This window comes from Homo sapiens, chromosome 1 (genome assembly GCF_000001405.40).
Source record: "Homo sapiens chromosome 1, GRCh38.p14 Primary Assembly".
NCBI classification, from domain to species: Eukaryota; Metazoa; Chordata; class Mammalia; order Primates; family Hominidae; genus Homo; species Homo sapiens.
In genome coordinates this window covers 96351146-96376543 of record NC_000001.11, presented here as the reverse complement: position 1 = coordinate 96376543, position 25398 = coordinate 96351146, and the positions used below count along the sequence as shown (strand labels likewise).

General features: G+C 39.3%; 1 long non-coding RNA gene across 1 annotated transcript in view, besides 1 other annotated feature; it reads left to right on the top strand.

Moving 5' to 3' along the window:
* Positions 1-2418: 2418 nt before the first annotated feature.
* The window catches only part of LINC01787 (long intergenic non-protein coding RNA 1787), a 120057-nt gene continuing 97077 nt past the window's right edge, over positions 2419-25398 (top strand). Inside the window, exons 1-3 of the long non-coding RNA NR_110693.1 lie at positions 2419-2462; positions 21277-21318; positions 23312-23390. This is a non-coding gene — a long non-coding RNA (long intergenic non-protein coding RNA 1787). The remainder of the gene's footprint in view (positions 2463-21276; positions 21319-23311; positions 23391-25398) is intronic.
* Positions 12610-13809: an enhancer, noted in NCBI's record as "P300/CBP strongly-dependent group 1 enhancer chr1:96828291-96829490 (GRCh37/hg19 assembly coordinates)". NCBI's record gives its function as "activates an origin of replication core promoter dependent on BRD2, BRD4, P300/CBP, MED14 and CDK7 cofactors, with strong dependence on P300/CBP, by STARR-seq in HCT116 cells {active_cell/tissue: HCT116}" and the evidence as "EXISTENCE:reporter gene assay evidence [ECO:0000049][PMID:35650434]".

The following is a 25398-nucleotide window of genomic DNA, read 5'->3' as shown; positions in this document are numbered from 1 at the left end:
GCCTCACCCAGCTCCCACACAATGCAAAAGGCCGGTCTCACTCCCACAGTGCCCCCACCAATAGCACCAAGTCTGTTTCCAGGCAGTGCATGAGCAGGGCTGAGAATTTGCCCAGGCTACCAGTCTCCCAGGTGCAAAAGCAAGCAGGGCTTTCATGCTTCCCCACCTGTGGAGTCTGCACACCAGAGTCACACCCTCCCCCAAGCTCAGGCCAAGAGACTTCGTGTTTGGGTGGAATTGTTACAAAGTTCAGGTGGAGACTGTCTTTTCCCTGTCAACCTTTCCCAGTTCCTCTGGCAGCCCTCCCTAGGGAACCCTGTGAGACAAGGCAGAAATGGCTTCCCAGGAGACCCAGAGAGTCCACAGGACGTTTCCCACTGCTTCGTTAACCCTGTATTTCCCTTGGCTCTCTAAATTGACTCAGGTCCAGGTAAGGCCAGAATCTTTTCCCATGATCTAGACCTTCAGGTTCCCCAGTGAGGGTGTGTGTTCAGGGATGGACAATTCCTCTTTCCTATTTCCACAGCTTGGGCACCCACAATATTTGAGATGTCTCCTGGGTCCTGCAGGAGCAATCTACTTCCTTCATAGGGTCTGTGAGTTCTCTCAGCTTTTCTGGTTTATCCCTGCAGTAGTTCTGGAGCAAAAGTTCATGATGTGAGTTTCCACACACTGCTCTGTTTGCATGAGAGCTGCAGTCTAGTCCTGCCTCCCATCCACCATAATTCCTCCAAATTCCCCTAACTTTATTATTTCATTCACTGCCATATTCAGTGAAACAAGAAATATGCATGTTAAGATGCATATAATTTACCTACCTATTTATTTTTCCTGCTGAACTTTTATGTCATGTTCCAACATAAAAATATTTCTCATTTTATTTATATGTTTCTTATTTTGGACGTTTGGATGACAGCTTTCTTACTCCTTTAAGGCTGCTATAATAAATACCTTAGACTGGGTAATTTATAACAATGGAAATTTATTGCTTATAGTTCTGGAGGCTGGGAAATCCAGGATAAAGGCTCCAACAGATTGGGGGTACTGGTGAGGGCCTAGTCTCTGCTTCAAAGATGGCAGACACCTTCTTGCTCTATCCTCACATGGTGGAAGGGGAGAACAAACTCCCTCAAACCGCTTCTATAAGGGCACAATCCCCATTCATGAGAGCTTTGGCCTCATGACTTATTCACCTCCCAAATGTCTATCTCTTAATGCTATCATACTGGCATTCGGTTTCAATATATAAATTTTGTGGGGATACAAACATTCAGAACATATCAGGAGGTAATGAGTTTTTATGTTACCAACAAGGTTGTGATGAGCATCCTTGTACTTGCCTCTTTGGACCTGTGTCTATAGGTATGCTGAATCGTAGAATGTGGCACCCAGAACTCTAAGATGGCTCCCACAATTCCTTGTACTCTAGTATACACAGCCTGCATCAACCTCTCCCCTTTAGTGTGACTGAGACTGTGACTATAAAGGATTTCACTCCCATGGTTAGAATACATTATAAGACAAAGATGAAATGAGTTTCAGATGTAATTAACATCCAAAATTAGTCGAGTTTGATTTAATCAAAAGAGACATTATTCTGGGTGGACCTGACTTATTCAGGCAAGTACTTACAAGGAACTGGACCCTTCTTAAAAAAAGAGATCAGAAGCATGAGGGAGATTTTCCTTGCTGGCCTTTAAGAAGCAAATTACCTCATTAACTGCTTATGGAGGGGGCTGTGTGGCAAAGACCTGAGAGTGGTCTCTAGAAGCTGAGAGAGGTTCTTGTTCAGCAACCAACAAGAAAATAAGAACTCAGTCATACAACTGCAAGGAATTCAGTACTGTCAACAACCAGTTATCTTAAAAGTGATCTTGAAACCTTACATCTAATCTACTTTCTGTCACTACAGATTGGATTTTATTTGCTATAATTTGTATAATAGAACTTTACAATCTATACTCTTTTTTTCTGGCTGTTTTCATTCAGCATAGTTATTTTATGACTCATCTGTGTTGCATGTATTAATAGTTTATTACTTTTATTGTGTAGTAGTATTCTAGTTTTTCTGTCCTTGTGAATATTTGATTTGGTCAGTCTTTTAAATTGTAACCATTTGATTTCAGCCTGGTGAGACCCTAGCAGAGAATCCAACCAACCCATACTCAAACCTCTGATTCATAGAAACTGTGAGATAATATGCTTGTGTGGTTTTAAGGTTATCTGTGCCCCAATTCTCCACAAAGGAACTTGATGAGGCCCAGATGTTTACGTGCATGTGCTAGGGTTTGGCACACAGGAGAAAAACCCTGAAATCATGAGACTTAGTGCTATATTGGGCAGCTGGTACATGTACCCCTTCTCCCACTAGAAAGAGAGACAAAACTTTACTCTGTAAACAAATCTCAGCAGAAGGGAGAGAATTACTCTGGATTGTAAGCAAATATCTCTGGAAGAAAGGGGTAAGTTGTTTCTGTTTATTACCCTTGGGATGTAAGCAAATGGCTCCAGGAGAGATATATCTCTAAACTGTATCCAGAGCAATTTGTGTTCTCTAACTTCCAAGGCATGTTTACCATTCAATCATGAAGTCTGGGTTATACAGAAATAGAAAAATATTCACGCAGCATTGCCTATGATCTATTTGTTAAGTCAAATGAAATGGCACCATAGGTTATATACACATGTACGTGTGTGCCTGTGTGTATATGAGTGTGTGCTAAAATCAGTGGTCCTTTTCCTTACTACTTCTATTCCCCAGTCCTCTCAAGAAGTAAATGGCTTCAACTCTTTCAGTCATTGCTTCTGATTCTTACCGCTATGTCTCTAAATAATCTGCATATCATATATTTCTTGATTTTGTAGTTTTATGGTTATCTTTTGACTTCTTGTTATAGTCTATTAAGATAATTAACTCTCTTAGATGTTCCTCCAACCCATCCGTGTTCCAAGTCTCCCTTTTCCTTTTTCTAGAAAAAGCCCTATCATAATTTGGGTTAAATAAATATTCAGATTTATATTTCCATAGTTATTGAAATATTCATTGGTGAATCAAATAGTGTACTGTGATAATAGCTTCTTTCTTGTATTACTTTTTGAATTTTTTGGAGTTTACTATTTCCTGAATTTTTCCTTTTTCTTATATTCTTAAATACCTATCAATGTTTAAACAATGTTAAGATATAATTGACATACAATAATTTTCAAATACAGTTGATAAGTTTTGTCATATGTATCCTACACATATGAAATTATTACCACCAGAAAGATAATGACCATTGGCATCAACCTCCAAGGATTGCTTGGGACTCTTTTTAATGCCTTCTTCCTTTTTATCCCTACCTTCTTCCATTTTCAGGAAACTACTAATCTAGTTTCTGTCATTACGGATTGGATTTTATTTGCTAGAATTTGTATAATAGAACTTTACAATGTGTACTCTTTTTTGTCCAGCTGTTTTCATTCAGCATAGTTATTTTGTGACTTATCCATGTTGCATGTATTAATAGTTTATTACTTTTATTGTGTAGTAGTATTCTAGTTTTTCTGTCCTTGTGAATATTTGGTCAGTGTTTTAAATTGTAACCACTTTAATAGGTATGTAGTAGTATCTCAATGTGATTAATTTTTATTTTCCTAGTGACAAATGATGTTGAATATCTTTTTATGTGCTTATTTGCTATCCACACATGTTTGCTGATGAAGTGTCTACTTAAATCTTTTGTCCATTTTTTAAATGATTTTTTTCAAATTACGTCTTGAGAGTTATTTACATATTGTAGATACACATCCTTTATCAGATAAGTAATTTGCAAGTCACTTTGTTTGTGATTTACAAACATTATCTTTTGGTCTGTGGCTTGTCTTTTTTACTTTCTTAATAGTGTTTTTCGAAGAGGGGAAGTTTTTAATTTTCATAAAATCCAATGTACCACTTTTTGTTTTTTGGATTGTGACTTTGGTATTGTATTTAGGAATTCTTTTTCTAAAATACCATCACAGAGATTTTCTTTTATCTTTTCTTCTTGAAGTTCTATAGCTTTCGGTTTAACATTTAGGTATATTATTCATTTTGAGTTACTTTTTCAATATTGTGGATAGGAGTACTTACTTGGTATATGGATATCCAATTGTTCTGGCACCATTTTTTGAAAAGACTATTCTCCAATGAAAATTGTTTTACACCTTGATTAAAAATCAATTCCTCATGTATCGATCTATTTCTTGACCCTCCATTCTTTTCCATTGTTCGATTAACCTTTGTGTCAATATCATGCTGTCTTGATTACTACATTTTTATAGTAAGTCTTGATATTGCAATGTCCCTTCTCACTTTGGCGAATCTCTGAAATTCTCTTACTTGATAATGCTTGCTTCCACTTGGCTGACTCTGGTCCAAAGGTGGGATGATTGCAACTCACAATTTTTTAAGGTTCTGATATCAGAATGATAGACCAGAGAATCAACAGCCCTTAGATAGCAATATTTCTCAAAGTGTGGCCTGTGGACCACTCACATCAGACATAACTTTGAAGTTTGTGTGTATGATATTACCATTTACATTCCTGTGTGTTTATGCCTGATCTATTTTTTTGTTGTTGTTGTTGAGATGGAGTCTCACTCTGTCGCCCAGGCTGGAGTGCAGTGGGGCGATCTCGGCTCACTGCAAGCTTCGCCTCCCGGGTTCACGCCATTCTCCTGCCTCAGCCTCCCGAGTAGCTGGGACTACAGGCGCCCACCACCACGCCTGGTTAATTTTTTGTATTTTTAGTAGAGACGGGGTTTCACCGTGTTAGCCAGGTTGGTCTCGATCTCTTGACCTTGTGATCCACTCGCCTCGGCATCCCAAAGTGCTGATCTATTAAATCAGAATCTTTAGGTAGGGGGCTCATGAATCTTCACATTTAGTAAGTTTACTGAGTGATTCTTATGGACATAAAAGTTGAAGAATTGCCTATGCTGGAAAAAAAAAACCCTTCCTTGTGTATTTTTCACATTTGTTACACAGATGAGTAAAACAGTAAAATGGATGTATTTAGTTAGGTGGAAATAAAGAAAATGCTTTAATTTACCTGTTCATTTATTTACTCACTCACTTTTTTGTTCAAACGTGACGAAAGATAAAGTATAAAATGTAAAATGTAAAAATGCAGGCCGGGCGCGGTGGCTTACGCCTGTAATCCCAGCACTTTGGGAGGCCAAGGCGGGTGGATCACAAGGTCAGGAGATCAAGACTATCCTGGCTAACAAGGCGAAACCCCATCTCCACTAAAAATACAAAAAATTAGCCGGGCGTTGGTGGCGGGCGCCTGTAGTCCCAGCTACTCGGGAGGCTGAGGCAGGAGAATGGTGTGAACCCGGGAGGTGGAGCTTGCAGTGAGCCAAGATCGCGCCACTGCGCTACAGCCTGGGTGACAGAGCAAGACTCCTTCTCAAAAAAAAAAGAAAAAAAAATGCAAAAACACAACTTGAAGAATTCATGGAATCTATTTTCAAAGACAGGATATGTTTCTCAAGTATTATTTATGCCTGTCAGATGATGACTCAATGCTCCCTGCAATCAGGAAACAGAGGAACACTGCGCTGGAAGAACTGCCCACAGGCATCCCCACTCCCAGGCTTTTTGCAGATTTCTTTTAAACAATCCCAGACTAAAACAAAACTAACTTATCCTTAAACCTCTTTAGGATGGGAAATTTTATAGCCTCCTTCAAACATTAGTTCTAGTGCGAATAATACCACTTCCTTCAATACAAGTTCCTGAGTTAAAACAGATAAAGATTCTTTATCATGGAAAATGCAAGGAAGTGGGGGGTGGGGGGGGGGGGTGCTGTACAGCCCATCCTGCCCTGAGAAATATGAGAATTATTAAGAGGCTGATCAAGCTGGTTCACTTTGTTTTTACTTTGGTCTCCTTCAGTGGTATGTCCACATCAGTATCATAATGTTTTCTTTGGTTCCCTATAACTCCCAATCCCTGCTAAGGATATGTTCTTGAAAACTCATTCACATCAATGGCAAATGATAGATAAATGCACAATATCTTACACTGTAGAACTGAAGTGTGGTACTTCAGATACTGTTAGTGGCAGTGAATCTGCATGGGTCTGCAATCACCTCAATTCTTGCCTCCTCAGAAGAAAGAATTTGACCAAGGGCCATAAGACAGAGTGAGAGATGGAGGCAAGTTTTAGAGCAGAAGTGAAGGTTTATTAAAAAGCTTTAGAACAGGAATGTGTGAAAGGAAAATGAATCTTGGGGCCCCCCAAATCACTAAGCTAAAGGGAAAAGTCAAGCTGGGAACTGCTTAGAGCCAACCTGCCTCCCGTTCTATTCAAAGTCACCCCTCTACTCACTGAGATAAATGCATATCTGATTGCCTCCTTTGGAAAGGCTAATCAGAAACTCAAAAGAATACAATTTTCTCTTATCTACCTATGACCTGGAAGCCCCCTCCCGCTTCAAGTAGTCCCGCCTTTGCGTTGAATTGTCCCGCTTTTTCTGGATAGAACCAATATTCATCTTATATATGTGGATTGATGTCTCATGTCTCCCTAAAATGTATAAAAACCAAACTGTGTTCTGACCCGCTTGGGCACATGTTGTCAGGACCTCCTGAGGCTGTGTAACGGGCGCACACCCTCAACCTTGGCAAAATAAACTTTCTAAATTAACTGAGACCTGTCTCAGATACTTGGGGGTTCACAAATGAAAGGAAGTAAAGTGCACTTCGAAGAGGGCCAAGCAGGCAACTTGAAAGATCAAGTGCACAGGTTGACTTTCCCTTAGGGTTTGGCATGCTTCAGGGGTCTTGTGTTACTTCTTCCGATTCTTCCCTTGGGATGGGCTGTCCTCATGCACAGTGGCCTGCTAGTGCTTGTTGTGGGGGCATATGCACAGGCATTTACTGGAGTTGTATGCATGTTCTCTTGAGGCTTTTCTTCCTCTTACCAGTCAAGTGTTCCTGTAAGGTTACATGTATCAGTTAAACTCTACCATTTTGCCTTAATGCACATGCTTGAGCCCACTCACCCAACTCCTGAGATCTTATTGGAAAGCTGATCAATAGTTTCAGGTTTTTCTTTTTTCTTTTTCTTTTCTTTTTTTTTTTTGAGATGGAGTTTCGCTCTTGTTGCACAGGCTGCAGAGCAACGGCGCAATCTTGGCTCACTGCAACTTCCACCTCCTGGGTTCAAGTGATTCTCCTGCCTCAGCCTCCCAAGTAGCTGGGATTACAGACATGCAACACCACACCCGGCTAATTTTGTATTTTTAGAGAAGACGGTGTTTCACCATGTTGGCCAGGCTGGTCTCGAACTCCTGACCTCAGGTGATCCACCTGCCTCAGTCTCCCAGTGCTGGGATTATAGGCGTAAGCCACCATGCCTGGCCTCAGGTTTTTCTATTGGGGGACTGCTTTTCCTTGGCACTGGCTGAGGCTAATTCTTATTTTAGAGAGATAGTTTAACAACTGCCTGACCATCACCTGATGGTGATTGACATTCCTAGTGCGGGGCAGGTGGGCCCTCTCCTGCCCGGCTCATGTTTGATTAGCAAACTACTGTGACAATATCAGAGCTGCATAAGATTGGTACTTTGTTGGATCCTCTCCCGTGTTTCTGAAATTAGTTGCAAAAAGCATTTTGTTATTCTGCTTTCTCATTAGACAGTCGTGGAGACTGTATGATATAAACTCTCAAAAGGGCCGATAGTTAAGAGCAGTCACAAAAAATGACTCTGTATTAGAGAATAGATATCACATCTGTTAGGTTTGCAAGATAGAGGACTTAGAGATCAAGAGAAATTTTACTTTCAGAGAATAACTGAGCATGCTAAAAGTTGGGAGGGGCCTTAATATACAATCATGCAAAGAAATTATCTGAGAAATGCATTGTTAGACAATTTCATCATGAACATCATAGAGTGCACTGACACAAACCTAGATTGTATAGACTGCTTCATACTGAGGCTATATAACATATAGCCTATTGCTGTTAAGCTACAAGCCTGTATAGCATGTTACTGTACTGAATACTGTAGGCAATTGTAACACATTGGTAAGTATTTGTGTGCCTAAACACATATAAACATAGAAAAGGTCCAGTTAAAAGATGGTATATTGGCCGGGCATGGTGGACCACACCTGCCATCCCAGCACTTTGGGAGGCCAAGGTGGGAAGATAGCTTGAGGCCAGGAGTTTGAGGCCAGCCTGGACAATATAGTGGGGCTGTATCTCTACAAAACATAATATAAAAAAAAAAAAAAAAAACTTAGCTGGGCATGGTGGCATGTACCTGTAGTCTTAGCTACTTGGAAGGCTGAGATAGGAGGATCACTTGAGCCCAGGAATGCGAGGCTACAGTGAGTTATAATTGCGTCACTGCACTCCAGCCTGGGCAACAGAGATAGACTCTGTCTAAACAAAAACAAACAAACAAACAAACAACTAAAAGGCAATATGAAAAACAAAATATGATACATCTGTATGGGGCATTTACCATGAATGGAGTTTGTGGGACTGGAAGTTGCTCTGGGTGAATCAGTGAGTGAGTGGTGAGTGAATGTGAAAGCCTAGGGCATTACTAAACACTACTGTGGGCTTTATAAACACTGTACACTTAGGCGACACTAAATTTACAAAATTCTTTTTTAATAATACATGAACCTTTGCTTACTGTAACTTTTAAACTTTATCAACTTTTACTTTTTTAAAAACATTTTGACTCTGGTAATAACACTTAGTTTAAAACACAAACACATTATACAGCTGTACAAAAATATTTTCTGGCTTGGCGAGGTACCTCATGCCTGTAATCCCAGCACTTTGTGAGGCTGAGGTGGGCAGATCACTGGAGGCCAGGAGTTCCATACCAGCCTGACAAACACAGTGAAACCCTGTCTCTATTAAAAATACAAAAAATTAGCTGGGCATGGTGGCACACGCCTGTAATCCCAGCTACTCTGGAGGCTGAGGCATGAGAATCACTTGAACCCAGGAGGTGGAGGTTGCAGTGAGCCGAGATTGCACCACTGCACTCTAGCCTGGGCAACAGAACCAGACTCTGTCTCACAAAAAAGGAAAAATTTCTTTATATCCTTATTTTTTAAGCTTTTTTTCTATTTTCAAAGGTTTTTTTTGTATACTTTTTAAGCTTTTTTGTTGTTGTTGAAAACTAAGACACAGATACACACATCAACCTAAGAGTATACAGGGTCAGGATCATGATTATCACTATCTTTCACTTCCATGTCTTATTCCACTGGAAGATCTTCAGGGGCAATAACATGCATGGAGCTGTCATCCCTTACAAAAAAGCCCTCTTCTGGAACACCTGCTGAAGGATCTGCCTGAGGATCTTTTGCAGTTATCTTTTTAAAAAATAAGTAGTAGGAGTATATGCTAAAATAATGATGAAAAGTATAGTACAGTAAACACATAAACCAGTAACACAGTTGCTTATCATCATTATCAAGTATTATGTACTAACCTATATTTTTGGCTGGCAGCACAGTACATTTCTTTACACCAGCATCACCATGACGATAGAAATTTTTCAGCTCCATTATAATCTTACGGGATTACTGTCATAAAAGTGGTCTGTTGTTGACCAAAATGTCATTATGGGGTGCATGACTGAACTGGCCTCATTATATAGATGAGGAAGCTGGGTTCCAGGGAGGTAAAGTGATGCGAGCTAAGTCACATAGATGACTAGGGACTATCTGTAATGTGGAAATCAGATACAGCAGCCTCTACATTACTTTGGTAACATAATTATCATGGGCTTACTAATAACCCAGAGCAAGTAAAGAGCATGCTAAATACCTTCTTGTTTCATAATCATGGCAAGAGCTCTGCAGTACAAATGCAAGATAATGTCCTCTGAGTCCAATCCTTTGTGGGAAGAGGCAGAGTATAAATAAATAAGCAAGTAAGCAAGTAACCTCCAACTTACACTCCCAACAATGAAGAGTTTTAATTTTTTTTTTAATGAGTGCATCCGTAGGGGTATGTATGTATATTAACTTATATTGTGTACTGACTAGAAAATGATCCACGATCTCTCGGAAGACCCATTCCCTTGATTAGTGGTAAGTTAGGTTAGTTAATTAAGGTTACTTTAATACTAATTAGTCAGGGCTTTAATTATGCTTTCAGAACAGGAACACAGGACTCATATGGTTCTTAGTGACCCAGTTAACTAAAGTGATAGGATTTTTGTCTTTCATCTAATAATGATTCATGATAAGGAACAGACGGAGAAAAGCTGATCCTAATGGGATTATAGAAGAATTCTTTAACCAGAGACAACCAGAGAGCAACAGAAGGTCTGAGATAAAAAAGCATCCTCTGTAGCTTCTGGAATAGCTCTGCAGGGAGAACAGCCAAGGGGCTGAAGCATGGCTGACTTTGTCATGAAGAGCTCCCAAAAATTGGCCCCAGTCTAGTGAGTCAATGGATTGTAGAGTATAAGCAATAAATGACGGCCTTAATTGCAGAAGGGGTGTCATGACAAACAGAAAACTAAGTGGAAAAAGCCTTTTCCCAATCATGGTAGTGGGCTTCACTTACTGAGTGCCCTTTGTATGCCAGACCATAAGACTTGCTGGAATTATGGAAATGAGTGTGTCAGGATTCCACTTCTCAAGGCAGAGATAGTCTGGTGGGATGGACAGATTTGCAGACAGATAAACTATGCTGCAACATGCTAAATGTGCTATTGGCAAATCTGTCCCTCCCACCCAAACTGTAAACAGACTGGAATGCATCCAATTTTCCATCAAATTCAGCATGAAAATGTGGTTAACTTCTTGCCAGTCCCAGTACTGTCTTTTGGTAGCTGCAGCCTCTTGTATTCTTGGATAACGTAGTAAGAACAATGTCCTCTAACTTGTTTAAGAAGACTTTTTGAATTCAGTGTCCTTTAGAAATGGGAATAAGCAATGTGACAACTCAAGACTGACTTGAAGAACTAAATTTGCAGCAAGTCATTGGATCTGTACGTGTTTGTGGTTTTAATGGATTATATCTATTTTCCATATTTGCAGAATACTTTGCAATCCCCATCCAGTAAAGCCATTTCCCTCTACCATAGAAATGGTAGCAGGATAATCTATAAAAATATTAATTTTTACTGTAACCTTCTTTCTTTTGCATGTATTTTCCTTCCTATATACCAAGTCTTTGTGATTCCCTGTCTGGGAGTCTTTTGTACTGTGGGCCAAAAAAAACAAACTAGTTTTGTTTTTAAAAGCCCAACCTCAATATTGTACTGGATCTTTGCTGCAAGGAGCCATAATGCAGGCGAAGTCAAGGCCAAAGCTTGGAGGTTGAAACATCATTATGGAGAGGGGTGGGGGCAAAGGGGAGGCCAGCCCTGGGCTTTACAGTTTCTAAAAGAATTGCACATTTTATCTGCTTGGGGTGGCTGTGGAATCTTTGATGAAATCTGTGGTGCAAGTGGAAATTTTGGATACTTTGATCTTGACAAAGACATATTGGAGTCCCCATTCTTAAAGAGCACCTGTTGACTTGAACAGTGAGCATACAGGCAATGAACTTCATGAACAGGAAACAGGCACTGGGCTTGGCTCTGGGGATCTCAGAGTCTGTGTAGCAGATCTTAGAGTCTGTGTAGCAAACTCAGTGATAACAAAGATTGAATTTATTGCCAGCTTTTTGGAATAGGAACTCAAAACACATATAATTTGTTTTAGGAAATTATAAGTAAAGTTGACATTAATCCTGTGTTGTGGCTTGCAAATTCTTACACATTACCCCACTCATATTCCATAATAAGCAAATGCATTCTTTGCTCCTGAATCAGGAACATATGTTCTCAGCAGTCTCATTTCTGTGTTCTTAGGACCCTTGATACCTAGTGCACAAAGCTCCCCTCCATTACCACTGGAAGACCCCCCTTTAGAATCTACATATCTGGCTAGAAAGAAGCTTAGACTAGTATTAGTTATAATGTGAACTCATTTCATACGTACTCGGAACATTCATGAATTCAATTCTACCTGCTAGTATTCTTTGGTACAACCACAGCTTTTATCTGGTACTCGACCACAGAACTAGTTTGTATTAATGCTGGAGCAAAATCAGTCTTCTTTGGACTTCTTGAGAAATTTGTATCTGTATAGGGTTGATATACAAAGGTTTCTGCTTTAGATGGACAATTTGGAAGATTTTCAAGGATAATTTTTGATTACTAAAATTTTGCCTTACCTTTTTTTTAATTCTAGAAACTAGGCTGGCACAAAAGTAATTGCAGTTTTTGCCATTACTTTTAATTGCTTATTGTCCAATTCCACATTGAAAGTAATGGCAAAAACTGCAATTAGTTTTGCAGCAACCTAATAGCTCACTAATATGACACTTCATCATTTTACATATATCTTTCTCAAATCACACAAATATTACTCATTAAATAAATAAATTCTAGTTTTTTCAACTCTATCCTGATGATATTACTGTAATCACAAAAGGAGATGCCACAGAAGTCTGAAAGTGAAAGGGAATGCAGATGACAGCAGCATCTTCAAGGAAAGGCATGGAGGATATTCAGGAGTTATAAAATCACAGATTAGAGAAGTTATAGGAAGAAAAAAGATAAGTGCAGATTTGACAAGTTTTTTTCTGGCTTTAGATCTCTGTTATTTAAGCTCGGTGCCTTATACAGTTCACGCCATTCTTGATAAGCATCCCCTTAAGTCTCTCTAAAAATCATTAATATTATCTTGCAAATAACACTCCGTGAGATTGTGAAACCTTCGTTTGCTTCTCCAGATCTCCCTCACTTATTTCTGGGACTGTTTCCATTACTGATATTCTGATGGCTTCTGAACTTAACTCTGTAGCCATGACCTCTCTCCCGACCTCCAGACTGTTTTTTAATCCAATTGCCTACCTGACATCTCCTCTGAATTTCTGAAAGGTCACAAAATAAATAGCCCTCTCCCTGAACCTATTCCCAGTTCTCTCCCCTTTTCAATAATTAGCCATTTCTCTAAGTGTTGCTTCAGCTAGAAACCATGCAGTGTTTTGTTTGTTCATTTGTTTTTGTTTGTTTCTGTTTCTGTTTTGTTTTGTTTTTTCTTTTGAGGTGGATTCTGTCACCCAAGCTGGAGTGCAATGGCACGATCTCGGCTCACTGCAACCTCCGCCTCCCAGGTTCAAGTGATTCTCCTGCCTCAACCTCCCGAGTAGCTGGGATTACAGGTGCCAGCCACCATACCTAGCTAAGTTTTGTATTTTTAGTAGAGATGGGGTTTCACTATGTTAGCCAGGCTTGTCTTAAACTCCTGATCTCAAGTGATCTGCCCACCTCAGCCTCCCAAAGTGCTGGGATTACAGGTGTGAGCCATTGTGCCCGGCCCCATGCAGTCTTTTTAATTCTGTTCTTTTCTCCACCCCAACATCCAACATGTCAGCAAATCCTGTCTACTGTTATTTGCAAAGTATGTCCCAAGTCAACTAAGTATTTTTCTGTTTCCAGTGCTGCTATCTTTGTCTCAGCACCCACCATCATTTTCCTGAAGTGCTGCCATAGTCTCTAGACTGATCTCTCCACTTCCCCTTCTGCTGCCACTTCCCTCCACATTCCAGGCTCTACAGAACAACTATGGTGAAGCCACAAAAACAAAATTCAGATCATGGCAATTCCTAGCTAAAACCTTCTAGTAGTTTCCTATTGCACACAGAATAAAGTCCAAATGCCTGATGTGGTTTAACAGTTTCTCCATGACTCAATGCCTACTCATCTTCATGAATCACCCTCTACCACTCTTTCACTTGCTCACACACTGTGGTTTCCCCTATGACCTTCTCTTGGGTTTTTGAAATGCCAAGCTTATTATGATCTTCAGGCCTGTGCCCTTGCTGTTAATGCTACCTGGAATGTTCTTCCCTCAGGATCTTCATAAGGCTGATTCTTTTTTGCTTTTCAAATCTCAGCTCTAGTAGCATCTTCTCAGTGAGACCTACACTGACTCCAGCTCTCAATCACATCAACGTGTTTAATTTTTTATTAAACTCATGGATACCTAAAACGCCCTTTGGTTTTTATTTGTGGGCTGGTTTATGATCTACCTTCACCTTCCTATGTCTGTCTTATTCTCTGCCATGTCCTTGGGACCTGGTAGGATGTAGTCACAGAGTAGACCCTCATGAACAAGTGGTAAATGAATGGATGAAGGTCTCTAAGGTGTATTTCATTTGGGTTCATTAATATGGTTTTTTGAACTAAAATGTGGCAATCTCCACATTTTTTTTTATCTTGCTTTATTTCCCTTTTGGGATGCCTGCTGCTAAAACCTCTTCTTGTCCCATAGCCACAGGGATGAGTTTCTGCAGCCTAACCCTTCTTCCCTCCTCACTTCCCCCACAGAGGGGCAGACAATGAACATTTCTAGCATGACCATTTCTAAAGCTGCATCAAGCTTTCTAGAGCTAGTTCAATGAATCCAAACAGTAATGAAACTACTTCTATATGAACCTAAGGAAAGTGCCTTTTGCTTTTCATGGCTGTGCCCAAACAATCTGTGCTCCTGTTTTTAGTGGCCCACTGAGCTCCCAATGAGATAGTTTTTTAGTATATATATTTTTTGCAGCCCTCATTCCCAAGGATTCAGATAGGAGTTTAGGGCTATTGTGGACCCGGGGAAATATTTGAGGAACAGACCCCATTTGTGCATAAAACATTTCTTCTCACAAAACTGGTTCTGGTCAGTGTCTGGGCCTGATACTTTCAAGGCCCCTCGTTCCTAGTGCAAATAGCTTCTACAGATCTTTCCGCTCCAGGCTGCCAGCCTTGCCTGGATATAGCTGGATCCCACCATGAACACAGCTTAAGCTCCAGCTGCTATCCCCAGTCCAATGCCAAAGTGATATTATAATCCTGACACAGGACTAATTAACCATGCCTAAGTGGTTAGGAAAGGATTCATGGAGGACAGAATATTTAAGCTCATTTCAAGGCGTAAGTTGAAGAATGTAAGGCAGAGAGGGAAGTGAAAGCAAAAAAAATGACGTATATATGTAAGGACATAGAAATTATACAATCAGGTTCTTAAGAGGAATTTAGTAGTGTTAGAGTAGAAGAGGAGGGAGAAAGGGCTGGTAAGGGAAGTTGGAATCAGGTCATTTAGGCCTTGCGGGCCCTGACAAGGAACTGAGTTTTAATGAATAGGGGAATGTCACTGAATGCATTTTTAAGCAAGAGACAGATGTCATCAAAACATTCTTTTATAAATATAACTCTGGTAGGAGCATATATAATAAATTAGTGTGGGGAGATTACTGGTAGAGAGATCAGAGAGGGGTCTATTACCAGGGTCAGGCAGGAGAAAAATAGAAGCATGGACTAAGGGGATAGCCATAATGGTAGTGGGGAAAGAATAAGAAGGATCTGATTTCAGGTGCATTTCAGAGAGGGCATAGACTTGATACTGGCTGATTGGCTCTGAGGGATTATGGAAAATAAGTTTCAAGGGTGATTAACCAAATTTTACTCTTGGAAAATTGTGAGACTTAATATGGCATCAATTGAGATAATTAATCCAAGAAGAGAAGGAATAGAGAAGAAGAGAGAAAGATGTTTGCCATGCTTCACTAACACAGCCCAGAAGAAAAGTCTTACATCGTAGATACAGTATTTAAGGTTGGGGTTGTAGTGCTACCAGGACAGGAAGATAGGCCACCCCATTGATATTGTTGATGGAATGGAGGGGTAATCTGACACATGTGGCATATTAGTAGTTTGTACTAAGGATTTTGATCTGTATTGAAAAGGTAAGTGATCCTCAAAGAGTCACTGATCCTTGTCTGACATTTACCCATTCTCTAACTTCCATTAGCAGTCTGTTGGCATTCTCGCACTGATATATACAGAGCTCTTTGCCTTTTCAGTCTCATTGCACAAACACTGAATCACTGTGCTGTAGGAAGGAGAAACCAATGTTTTGGTTTTTGCTTTTTAAAATTTGTGGTGCTTAAAGCAGAGAGGCATTAGAATACAGAACTAGGAGTCAAAAGATTTTGCTTCTTTTCCTAGTTGCTCAAGTTAGGTAGCCTTTCCTTTTTTTTCTTTTTACTTCCTTCCTTCCTTTTTTCCCTTCCTTATTTTTTAAAACTTTGGTTTCATCATCTGTAAAATGGTGATGAATGGTGGTGGTGGTTGTAACATTTTGGCTACTTGGCAGGAATCAAATGTAAGGATCAAGTGGGATAATGTTTACAATGATTCAATGTGTTGCTATTTACTTAAAGTACAGTAGCAGCAAATATTAGCCAATGAAATTACCTGGTATGTTGTACAGAATGCTCCATGATGCCTGGAGAAGATGACCACATTTCCATACCAGTCACTTTTGTGTAATAATAGAATAGTGATTGAGAACAGAGGCTCTGGAGCACACTGTGGCAAATGGAAGTCCCAGTCAGCCACTTTTCAGTGGAATGATCATACACAAGTTATTTGGACTCTTTAAATCTTTCTTTCACTATCAATAAAATAGAGAAAGTAATTCTTATTTCACAAATTTTATAGGATAAAGCAGATGATACAAGTATTGAGGATATTGATTTTATCCTATCACACTTGGGTGTAAGAAATGTCATATGATTCTTCTAAATAAAAACTAAATCTCACTATGAGCAGCCATTCACCAGGATAGTCAGACAGCTATTATCATTCATATTTGTTCTTTGCCTCTAGCCACAGATAGTTGTTTCCAAAGAATCTAGGAGTCTTATATTGTGTCTTGAAGGAAAACAATTCTCAACTCCTCAACCCATGGTAGTTGCTATTAGATGCTTATAGTTCAACTCTAATAGCAGAGGCTCTGCTAGTTCTGTGTCAAGCTTGGGTGTAGGGGCCTTTGCTAAGACTGGGAGGTTCAGCTTTTAGTGCCCCTAGCACAGCACACAGCCATTCACTCCAAGGCCTTGTATCTTCTGAGAGAGCAGAAACTGAATTAGGTGTGGATCTTCACTACCTGCAAAACCAGTCAAAACCCCCACCCCTTCCCAGGTTTGGGGTATCTCCCCGTCTTTCAGGTTCAGAATATTTGGCCTCGCTGCTTACAAACTTTCTCCACTCAGCCTTGGCATTTCCCAAGCAATTTCTCCTCAAAGGATCTTTAAAAACAATGTTGCTATTTCTTTCCTGGGGGCGTGGTGAAAAGCATATTTACCCAGTTGAAGTTGTCATGTGAAATCCCTGTTTTATGCATATAGATCACTTATCATACTTCCTAGCATGAGGTAAGTGCTCTATGAATGTGATGGAGAGCTGCTGTCTCTCCTGAGCCATCTTCCAGCTTCCTCAAGCTTTACAATCCTGCTCTGCGCCCAGGAGGCTGACATACAGGATGCATCATTGAGTTCCCATGTTCTCTGGCTTCTGGTTAGGCTCTGTCTATAGGGGGGATGAGAGACAGGGAGTACAGTTAGGTTGAGGAATTCATTCTCCTGGCTGCTCCCTGTGGAGTCACATGTGGCTGCCTCACTCTGTGGCAGGCTACAGCTTTTGCTGGATGGCCCATGCTTCATGGTCTTTTCTCTTCTTTTCCTGCCTCTTCATGCCTTAGATGTGGTGACACCTCCTGTGGTTACCAGCTCTAGAGTATTACCCCATCCTTTGTTGTTTTCCTCCTTTGGTAAATAGCTCCCATCCTCATTATTCTTAATATATATATATATTTTTTTTTCCCGAGATGGAGTGTCGCTCTGTCACCCAGGCTGGAGTGCAGTGGCGTGATCTTGGTTCATTGCAACCTCCATCTCCCGAGTTCAAGCAATTATCCTGCCTCAGCCTCTTGAGTAGATGGGATTACAGGCACGTATCACCACGTCCAGCAAATTTTTGTATTTTTAGTAGAGACAGGGTTACACCATGTTGGCCAGGCTGGTCTCAAACTCCTGACCCCAGGTGATCTACCCACCTCGGCCTCGCAAAGTGCTGGGATCACAGACATGAGCCACCACGCCCGGCCTCTTAATAAAATCTTTATTTTATTCAAGTATTGGGTTCTTAAGTGCTTCCTGGATCACTCTCAAAACTAGAGGAATAAATGTTGAGGCCAATCATAATCATTTTATTCCCATGTCAGCAAAAGATGGTCATGTGCTGCACTGCGGTCAGTTAAATAAAAGAAAGAGGGTTCCTGGGAGTACCTCAGAAGGTTTTCTTTACCCTTAAAAAGAGACACCTAATAAAAGCTTGTGCTTTTTATCTTTACATGTTGTGTGTATGGAAGTGATAGTTGGAGCCATTGGAGCCATCTTGTGACCATGAGTGAAAACCAAGAGAAAATCATAGAGAAATCGGACATTGTTAAGTTGCTGAATTAAGTCCAGAATTTCCTGCTGTCAAGCTTTTGTTATGGGATATAATTAATTTTCGGCAATTTAAATGACTTTAGTTGGAGTTTTATGTTACCTGTAGCTAAAAATAGCCTGGGGGATTAATCCCAATCTCTCTTTACACTTATTTGTTTTTAGTGCAAAAACAATTCCTAACAGAAAAATAATTATTTTCAATGTTTGGTAGCTGCTATTTTTTTCTATTGCATTGTATTTTCAAGTTAAGGCCATAAAATAATAAAGAACATTTGAATCTCTTTAAAGTGAAGACTTCCAGCGGTATAAAATTTTTGTATCATCTGAGAATTGGCACACTTCCGAGATGAGTGGGATAGGAAGTGGGAAATCTACAATTTCAACATATGTCTAATAGGGGTTAAATTTTTCTTGAGAGAACAAACAAAAAAAATAACATCTATAAGATTACAGAAAAAATGTTACCTTGCTTTTCTTAGAATTTCAGTTTTACTGTGGAAATTGTGGAGTCTGAAAAGGAAAAGCTATTTGCTTACAGAGTTAAAGGATAGACTATCCTGGAGACTCTGGAAAACTTTAGTATCAGCCATTCTACCAGTTACTGATTTACAATTTGCCAAATGCTTGGAAATTTCCTGGCCTATTGTTACCATGATGTAATTATTTGTTTAGCATATTTTCCAGCAAGAAAAGAGAGGTCGAAGACAGAAGTGGTAAGTTTTCAATTTCAGATACAGGTCAGAGGTAAAGGAGTCATATAGCTGAATTTTCCAGGAAAGACTCCATTTCTAATATGGATCAATTCATTCAGTTCTACTTCAGTGACTCAAGTATCACAGAACGTAAAGACCATAAGTCATATGAGTCATCTCTTTCATTTTTTTTTTTTACCAGAAACTCTATCAGTTGACCAGAAATAATTACAATTTCATAAATCCCCTACCTTCCTTAGGGAAGGTACATTTCCTTCTTTCTAATGCCTTTGTCATACAGAGACAGAAAATAAGGAAAAGATATCTGGGGATGGGAAAATGCTACTATCAACATTTATTCTGTTTCCTTCCTCTTTACTCCTTATTTTCAATTTTGTGTGCCAACTCAGGTAACCATCTTCCCACAAACCTAGACTGTGGTGGGGAACAAGGAGGGGGCAGATGTTGGCTCTGATAAATAGCTGCCCCTCTTTCTGTGCCTCTGCTACAAGGTACTTATTGATACAAAAATAAAAAAGTACTAAACATAGTAAACATAGTATCCAGTTTTTCTGTGTAAATCCAAAAAAGACATTATTATTGACTGGGTTCTATATCAAGTCTGGGCAAGTTATCCACAAACAGGATAAAGATAATAAACTCTTTGGGGCATCAGTATACCATACAGCAATCTCACTGTTCCCTAGAGCTGTGGAAGAATTCATTTACCTCACATAGGTGAACCTTTCTCTTCCCCAGAGAGCATTTTGTTCATCTTAGCTCACTACAAGATCAGATCCATTGTCAGCAGTAACAATTTGTACCTTGTTTTTTTTTTCCCCACTGGGTTGAAACTTAAAGCGTCTCTGAGTGGAAAATAACTGGCAATAGCTGTATCTCAATTTTTACAAAGGGGTCGAGAAGGAGAGAGGGAGAACCTTAGATTAAGATGTTCTTCTGAAATTACAGGTCCATCCAATCAGCGATAAAGCAAGAAACTAAAGCCAGACCTCAGAAAAACCAGTCCATTTATTCCCTAAAATCTTGTTTTCTTATTTGTTTCAGGTACATGGTAATTCTTGCCTCACTAGCACTCTTTCAAAGACAGTGAAAGGTCCGTTAGCATTTGGAAATAATTTTATTTTGCGGAATTTTGGAGCTGGCCTTGGCTGACTCTCTATTAATGTTAAAGAAAAAGTCAAATAACATGATTTTTCTATTAAAGCAAAGGTTTCTACATTAACACTGAACTTCAGGACACCACACAGAGCTGAAGACAGCAGTTGGAGTGACAGTGACACAGAAATGAAATGAATTAAAATTGCCACTGACAATGAAGCAGGAAGAGGTGGGAGGCGTAAAGGCTTGTCCCTGAAAATTTTACAGCATGGCTGATGCTGGAAGGAACAGTAATTTAAGACAGTTATGGACCTTAAAAAAAAGCAATAATGTTGAAGTCAGACCCAGTCTGTATGGAATGGTTATTATTTGGTTTAAAACTGTGAAGAATGCATTCACTACTTTGGTAAAAAGAGATACTGACCTTGATGCAGTGCAAATTTGATATGGGATTAGAGGTCCTTGTTCTTAGATTGCTGCTAAAGACAGGGGAGCAGCAGTAAAACAGCATCCTGGCGCTGAATAGGCACATGTGGGTGCAGCTCCACTTCAGTCAGGGCTTAGAATCAGCAGACGCTTGCATTTTAGGGATATAGTCTCAAAGCTCTGAGAGGACTGAAGACGTACTTTAAGAACACATATGCATATGCTCCCTCCGAGGGAGGTGCCCTGTTCTATTTGGGATCACTGTGCATTATGCAGGAAGTTGGTCACAGAATAAGGAAACGGGATTCCCAGACAGCACATCTGCATACCGGTCAGATCATAGCTCTCCTTTTACTGCCTGTGTTATCCTGGGCAAGATATATTCCTTCTCTGATTTTCAATTTTGCCATCATATGGGATTATAATTATATTTTGTTTATAATGTTAAGTAAATGAAGATACTTTTTCAATGTTGAGCACTATATAAAAGCTGAAAATTGTTCCCACTAGATTGGACTGACAAGGGAATGTAGGTTTCCCTTTTATTAAATATATGTGCATATTTTCATATACGCATTTGATATCAGTTGCTATCTGAGACTTGGACAAAATTGCAAAGAAGACAGAATTTGAATATTTCTAATTTTCCTATGAGCAACTTATCTACCCATTTCTTTTTTTCCCCTTTCCAGAAAACTAAGTCAGAGCAGAAGGAGAATTGAAATGGTGATGAGGTGAGTGGGCAAAGGTAATGGCGTGTAGGCAAAGTGTCAAGGGCGTACAAGATTTCAAGAGCTACAATGAGGTGTGAGACTTCAAAAAATAATTCTGGCTTCACTGAAGCTTAGCCCAACTTATACAAAGTTACTATACTATGTATTTATTGTATGATGTGGGCAAATTTTAATATGTTTTATATTATGCCAATTATGTGCCTAGAATTTTAGAAGATCTTAAAAGAACTTAGTGGGGATGATAAGGAAAGACCTGTTTGCATGGTAAGACCAGCATCTCACCATGGGAGAAAATGTTCAGCTGGACCAATAATCGGTGTACGTGTGTGTATGTGTGTGTTTGTGTGTGTGTGTGTGTGTGTGTGGTGGGGGATGAGGTGAGCACGCATCACTCAGCAGTAGCTAGGGGGACATTTTAAAAATTCACACATTTCTGTCTCTCCATGCAGGACATAAGGTAAGATGTGGGAAGTGACATTCCAGGCTATGACAGTTTTTTCTCCTCAATGTATTTCTAGCTCTGGCAAAGGTCTTAGCACACATTAGGCTCTCAATAAACACTGAGTGGATAAATGAATGGGTGGTCTAAGTCAGGGGGTACCTGGTGATGCCAGAGCAGGTAGGAGTAGAGGGAGGATGGTGTTAGGGTGTCCTGAGTCAAGCACTATGAAGTGACTAGCCTGAGAGTTACCCTGAATGAGATGAGGCAGCATGGGAAATTGGGTTTTTGGAAGGGATACTAAATAATAATAATAATACATTAACAATGACATTTTGAGTTTACCATCTGCCAGGTGTTATAATAAAAAACTTACATTCAGTATCACATTTTCTTATTATATCAGCTCTATAACACAGGCAGTATTACCATAGCCATTTATGGATAAAGACATACAGAAGTCAGGTTAGTTACCCAAGGTCACAGAACTAGTATGTGACAGAACTGGGAGTTAAACCCATGTTGGTCATACTTCAAATCTGAGCGCTCTTAATGACAACAATGTAGGAATCTGTAGGGCATACAACAAGCATACAAATAGAGCTCCAATTGTAGAGGGTGCTGGAATAGTTATTATAACACAGGTTATTGAAGCAGAAAACTGTTTTGAAGGGAAGGTGTCGGAAACTCATTTTATTAAATAGAAGATAAGGAAGAGACTTAGTTATAGGAGTAAGAAAGGAAACTGATTTGGAACTGGGTTGATTCCAAAGCTTAGACTGGAGGTCCTAGTTAGGAGATCAGAGTCACTAGTTGTAGAGAGTACTGGATCTCACATTCAGGGCACTCATGCTGATGTTGAGTTGTAAAGTTCTGTGTCTTATTTGAACCTGTCCTTTCTAAGTCTAATCACTCCTCTTTCCTTACAGAGGAGTCTCTCTAATGGGTCTAGACTATTTCTGGTTCTTAGCCAGAAATGCTTACAGAAGTACCTGAGTAGTTCATGAAAATATCTGTGTTTGAGCTTCACCTCAGACCAGTAAAATAAGACCTCCTGTGGGTGAAATCCTGGCATTATGGTTTCTTAATAGTTCCTATAGTCAATTTAAATGTGCAGCCAAGGTTAAGAACCGTGGTTGTAGGTTAACATTTCTGATCAAATTAACCACTATTCATGTAAATTTGGTTCATAGTTCTTGGGTGGCATATATGTATGTATTTGTATAGTTATTTATGCTTTTAAATATTTTTTCTAATTATAAAATTAAGACAAATTTATAGAACAATAAATATTTTCAAAAGAAGAGATATTTATTGTTTCCTGACAATGTGATAGAAATCCAAAAGACTCATGTACAAGAGCTGAAATTGCTATCAAAAAGCTCTTTTGAATAAATACAAGGAGGAATTTCTGAGAAATCAGCAGAAATTGCCAGAAATCAAACTGAAAAGAGAGTTGAAACACACATTTCTAGGCTTATGTTAATACTACGGATGCACTGGGGCCAGGGTTGGGTGATAATGGCCCAACGCCTAATGGAGAAAATGTCCTAGGACTGTGGAAGATGAAGGCTTGGAACTGAGACCCCCTGGAAAAGACAGGCACTTGAAAGCCTATTGCCTCAAAGAAAAGGTGAGCTAGGGGCCAGGGGGCTGGGTTGGGGAAGGTGAGTTGTCTATATTAGCCTGGGCTCCAGATAGAAGAAAATTCCCCTCTTGCAATTCATACCTTTGACACAATGCACTGGACACAATTTATGTACAATCTCATATTTGGCTGATCTTTCTCACCTCTGGAGCCTGGTGGCTGCTTCCTCGTGGGACTCCTGGCTGCTGCCTCTGTACCAGGCACAGCTGCCACCACCTTATCTGCCAGCCTCTGTTATGATTACTACACTTTCCATGGGAGCCGTAGCAGCTCTGGAGACCAGGCCCAACCAATTGCACCCAGGGAGACTTGGCTCCCTTAACCACTTCTGGATTCAAATAAAACACTATGACAAATTGTTTGGGAAATTCAAGTTAAAATAATTAACATAATTTTGTTCATAACACTCTGGCAAGCCTGATGAAAGCAAAGAACAAATCTCTTTTAAGAGAACCCAGATAAATTCAAAACCCAAATCTTGCAAGAGTCTCATAAATAAATTATGCAAAACATAAATTCACAATTAAACAACAACAAAAGAAACACACACATACACACACACACACACACACACACACACACACACACACACAGTAATAAGCCAACAAAAGCATGAATCAAGAGGGAAAAAAAACACAGCAAATGTACCATTCAGGAGTATCATGTAAAGGGAATATCAAATGGTGAATGTAAAATAAAATTTTTGTTTCCCTCCAGAAGCTAACTGCAAGGGAAGGATTCAAATGCAAGTAGTTTATGTGGTAGATGGTCCCAGAATATATCAGTAAAGGATTGGGAAAATTAGACAGAAAAGAGAAAGAAGTCAGTAGATGATATATCATCAAATGAGTTTCTACTGTGGACAATTGAATCTCAGTATCACTGGGAATGTTGCTAGCAGAGGTGGAACATGCTTCAGAGTTATCCTAACTAAGATACAAGGAAGCTGGGGATGCTTATTTATCAATTTCTTATCCATCATTAAATAAAGGATGCTTCTGGAAACATTAGGTCATTCACCCTTTGAATTTTCTTTGTGCCTGGGCTGAGTGTGCCCTTAGGATCAAGCAAAAAGTAATCAGGCAGAGAATAGCAAGATCCAGCTAACAGATTTTGGCATGTAGGGGTGAATGTCAAAGGGTTAGGAGCAAGAATATGAGGATTTGATAACTAAGAATGTTTGAAGAAATAAAGACTGCTATATATATATATTATTAAAATATATAAAATTATTAAAAGATAGAAAACTTCAGTGTCAAGAATCCTTCCCAAAATTCAAACAGGAATAATAAGAAATCTCCTTTTGAACACACAATCAGGCCTATCCCAGAGACTATAGAACATTAGAGACAAACAAGAGGTATTACAAGTGGTCGGAAAGAAAAGACAAATTACAGCAGATTTCTCACAGACAAAAGAAGGACAGAGCATAGTGTCTTCAAAATACTTAAAGAACATGCTGTCAACCTAAAATTGCATTCCTTAGCTAAACTTTATTCAAAGAAAGAATAAAATAGAAAAATTTTCAGACAAACAAAAATAGAGTTTACCACCAACAGAATGTGCCATATCTCACAAAGATATTTCCAAAATGCTTCAAAAAGATGAAAACCGACCTCGAAATGAAGATCTCTTAGATCAGAAGTCAAGAAACTATGGCTTAGAGATTGAATCCAACCTACAGATGGATTTTGTAATTCCTGTGAGCTAAGAATATTGAAAAAAATAACTTTATATTTTATAACAATATTAGATTTAGAGAAAAATCAAAGAGATAGTACAGTGGGTTCCTATATATACGCTTTCCCACCTCTGATCTAATTTGTTCTATTATTAGTTCTTATATTCATGTGGTACATTGGTTAAAACTGATGAAACAATATTGACAGACACATATATATATCTATACATATACATACACATTACTGTGTGTACATACAGACATACACACATATGTATGTACATACTTCTACCAATACACACACACATTATG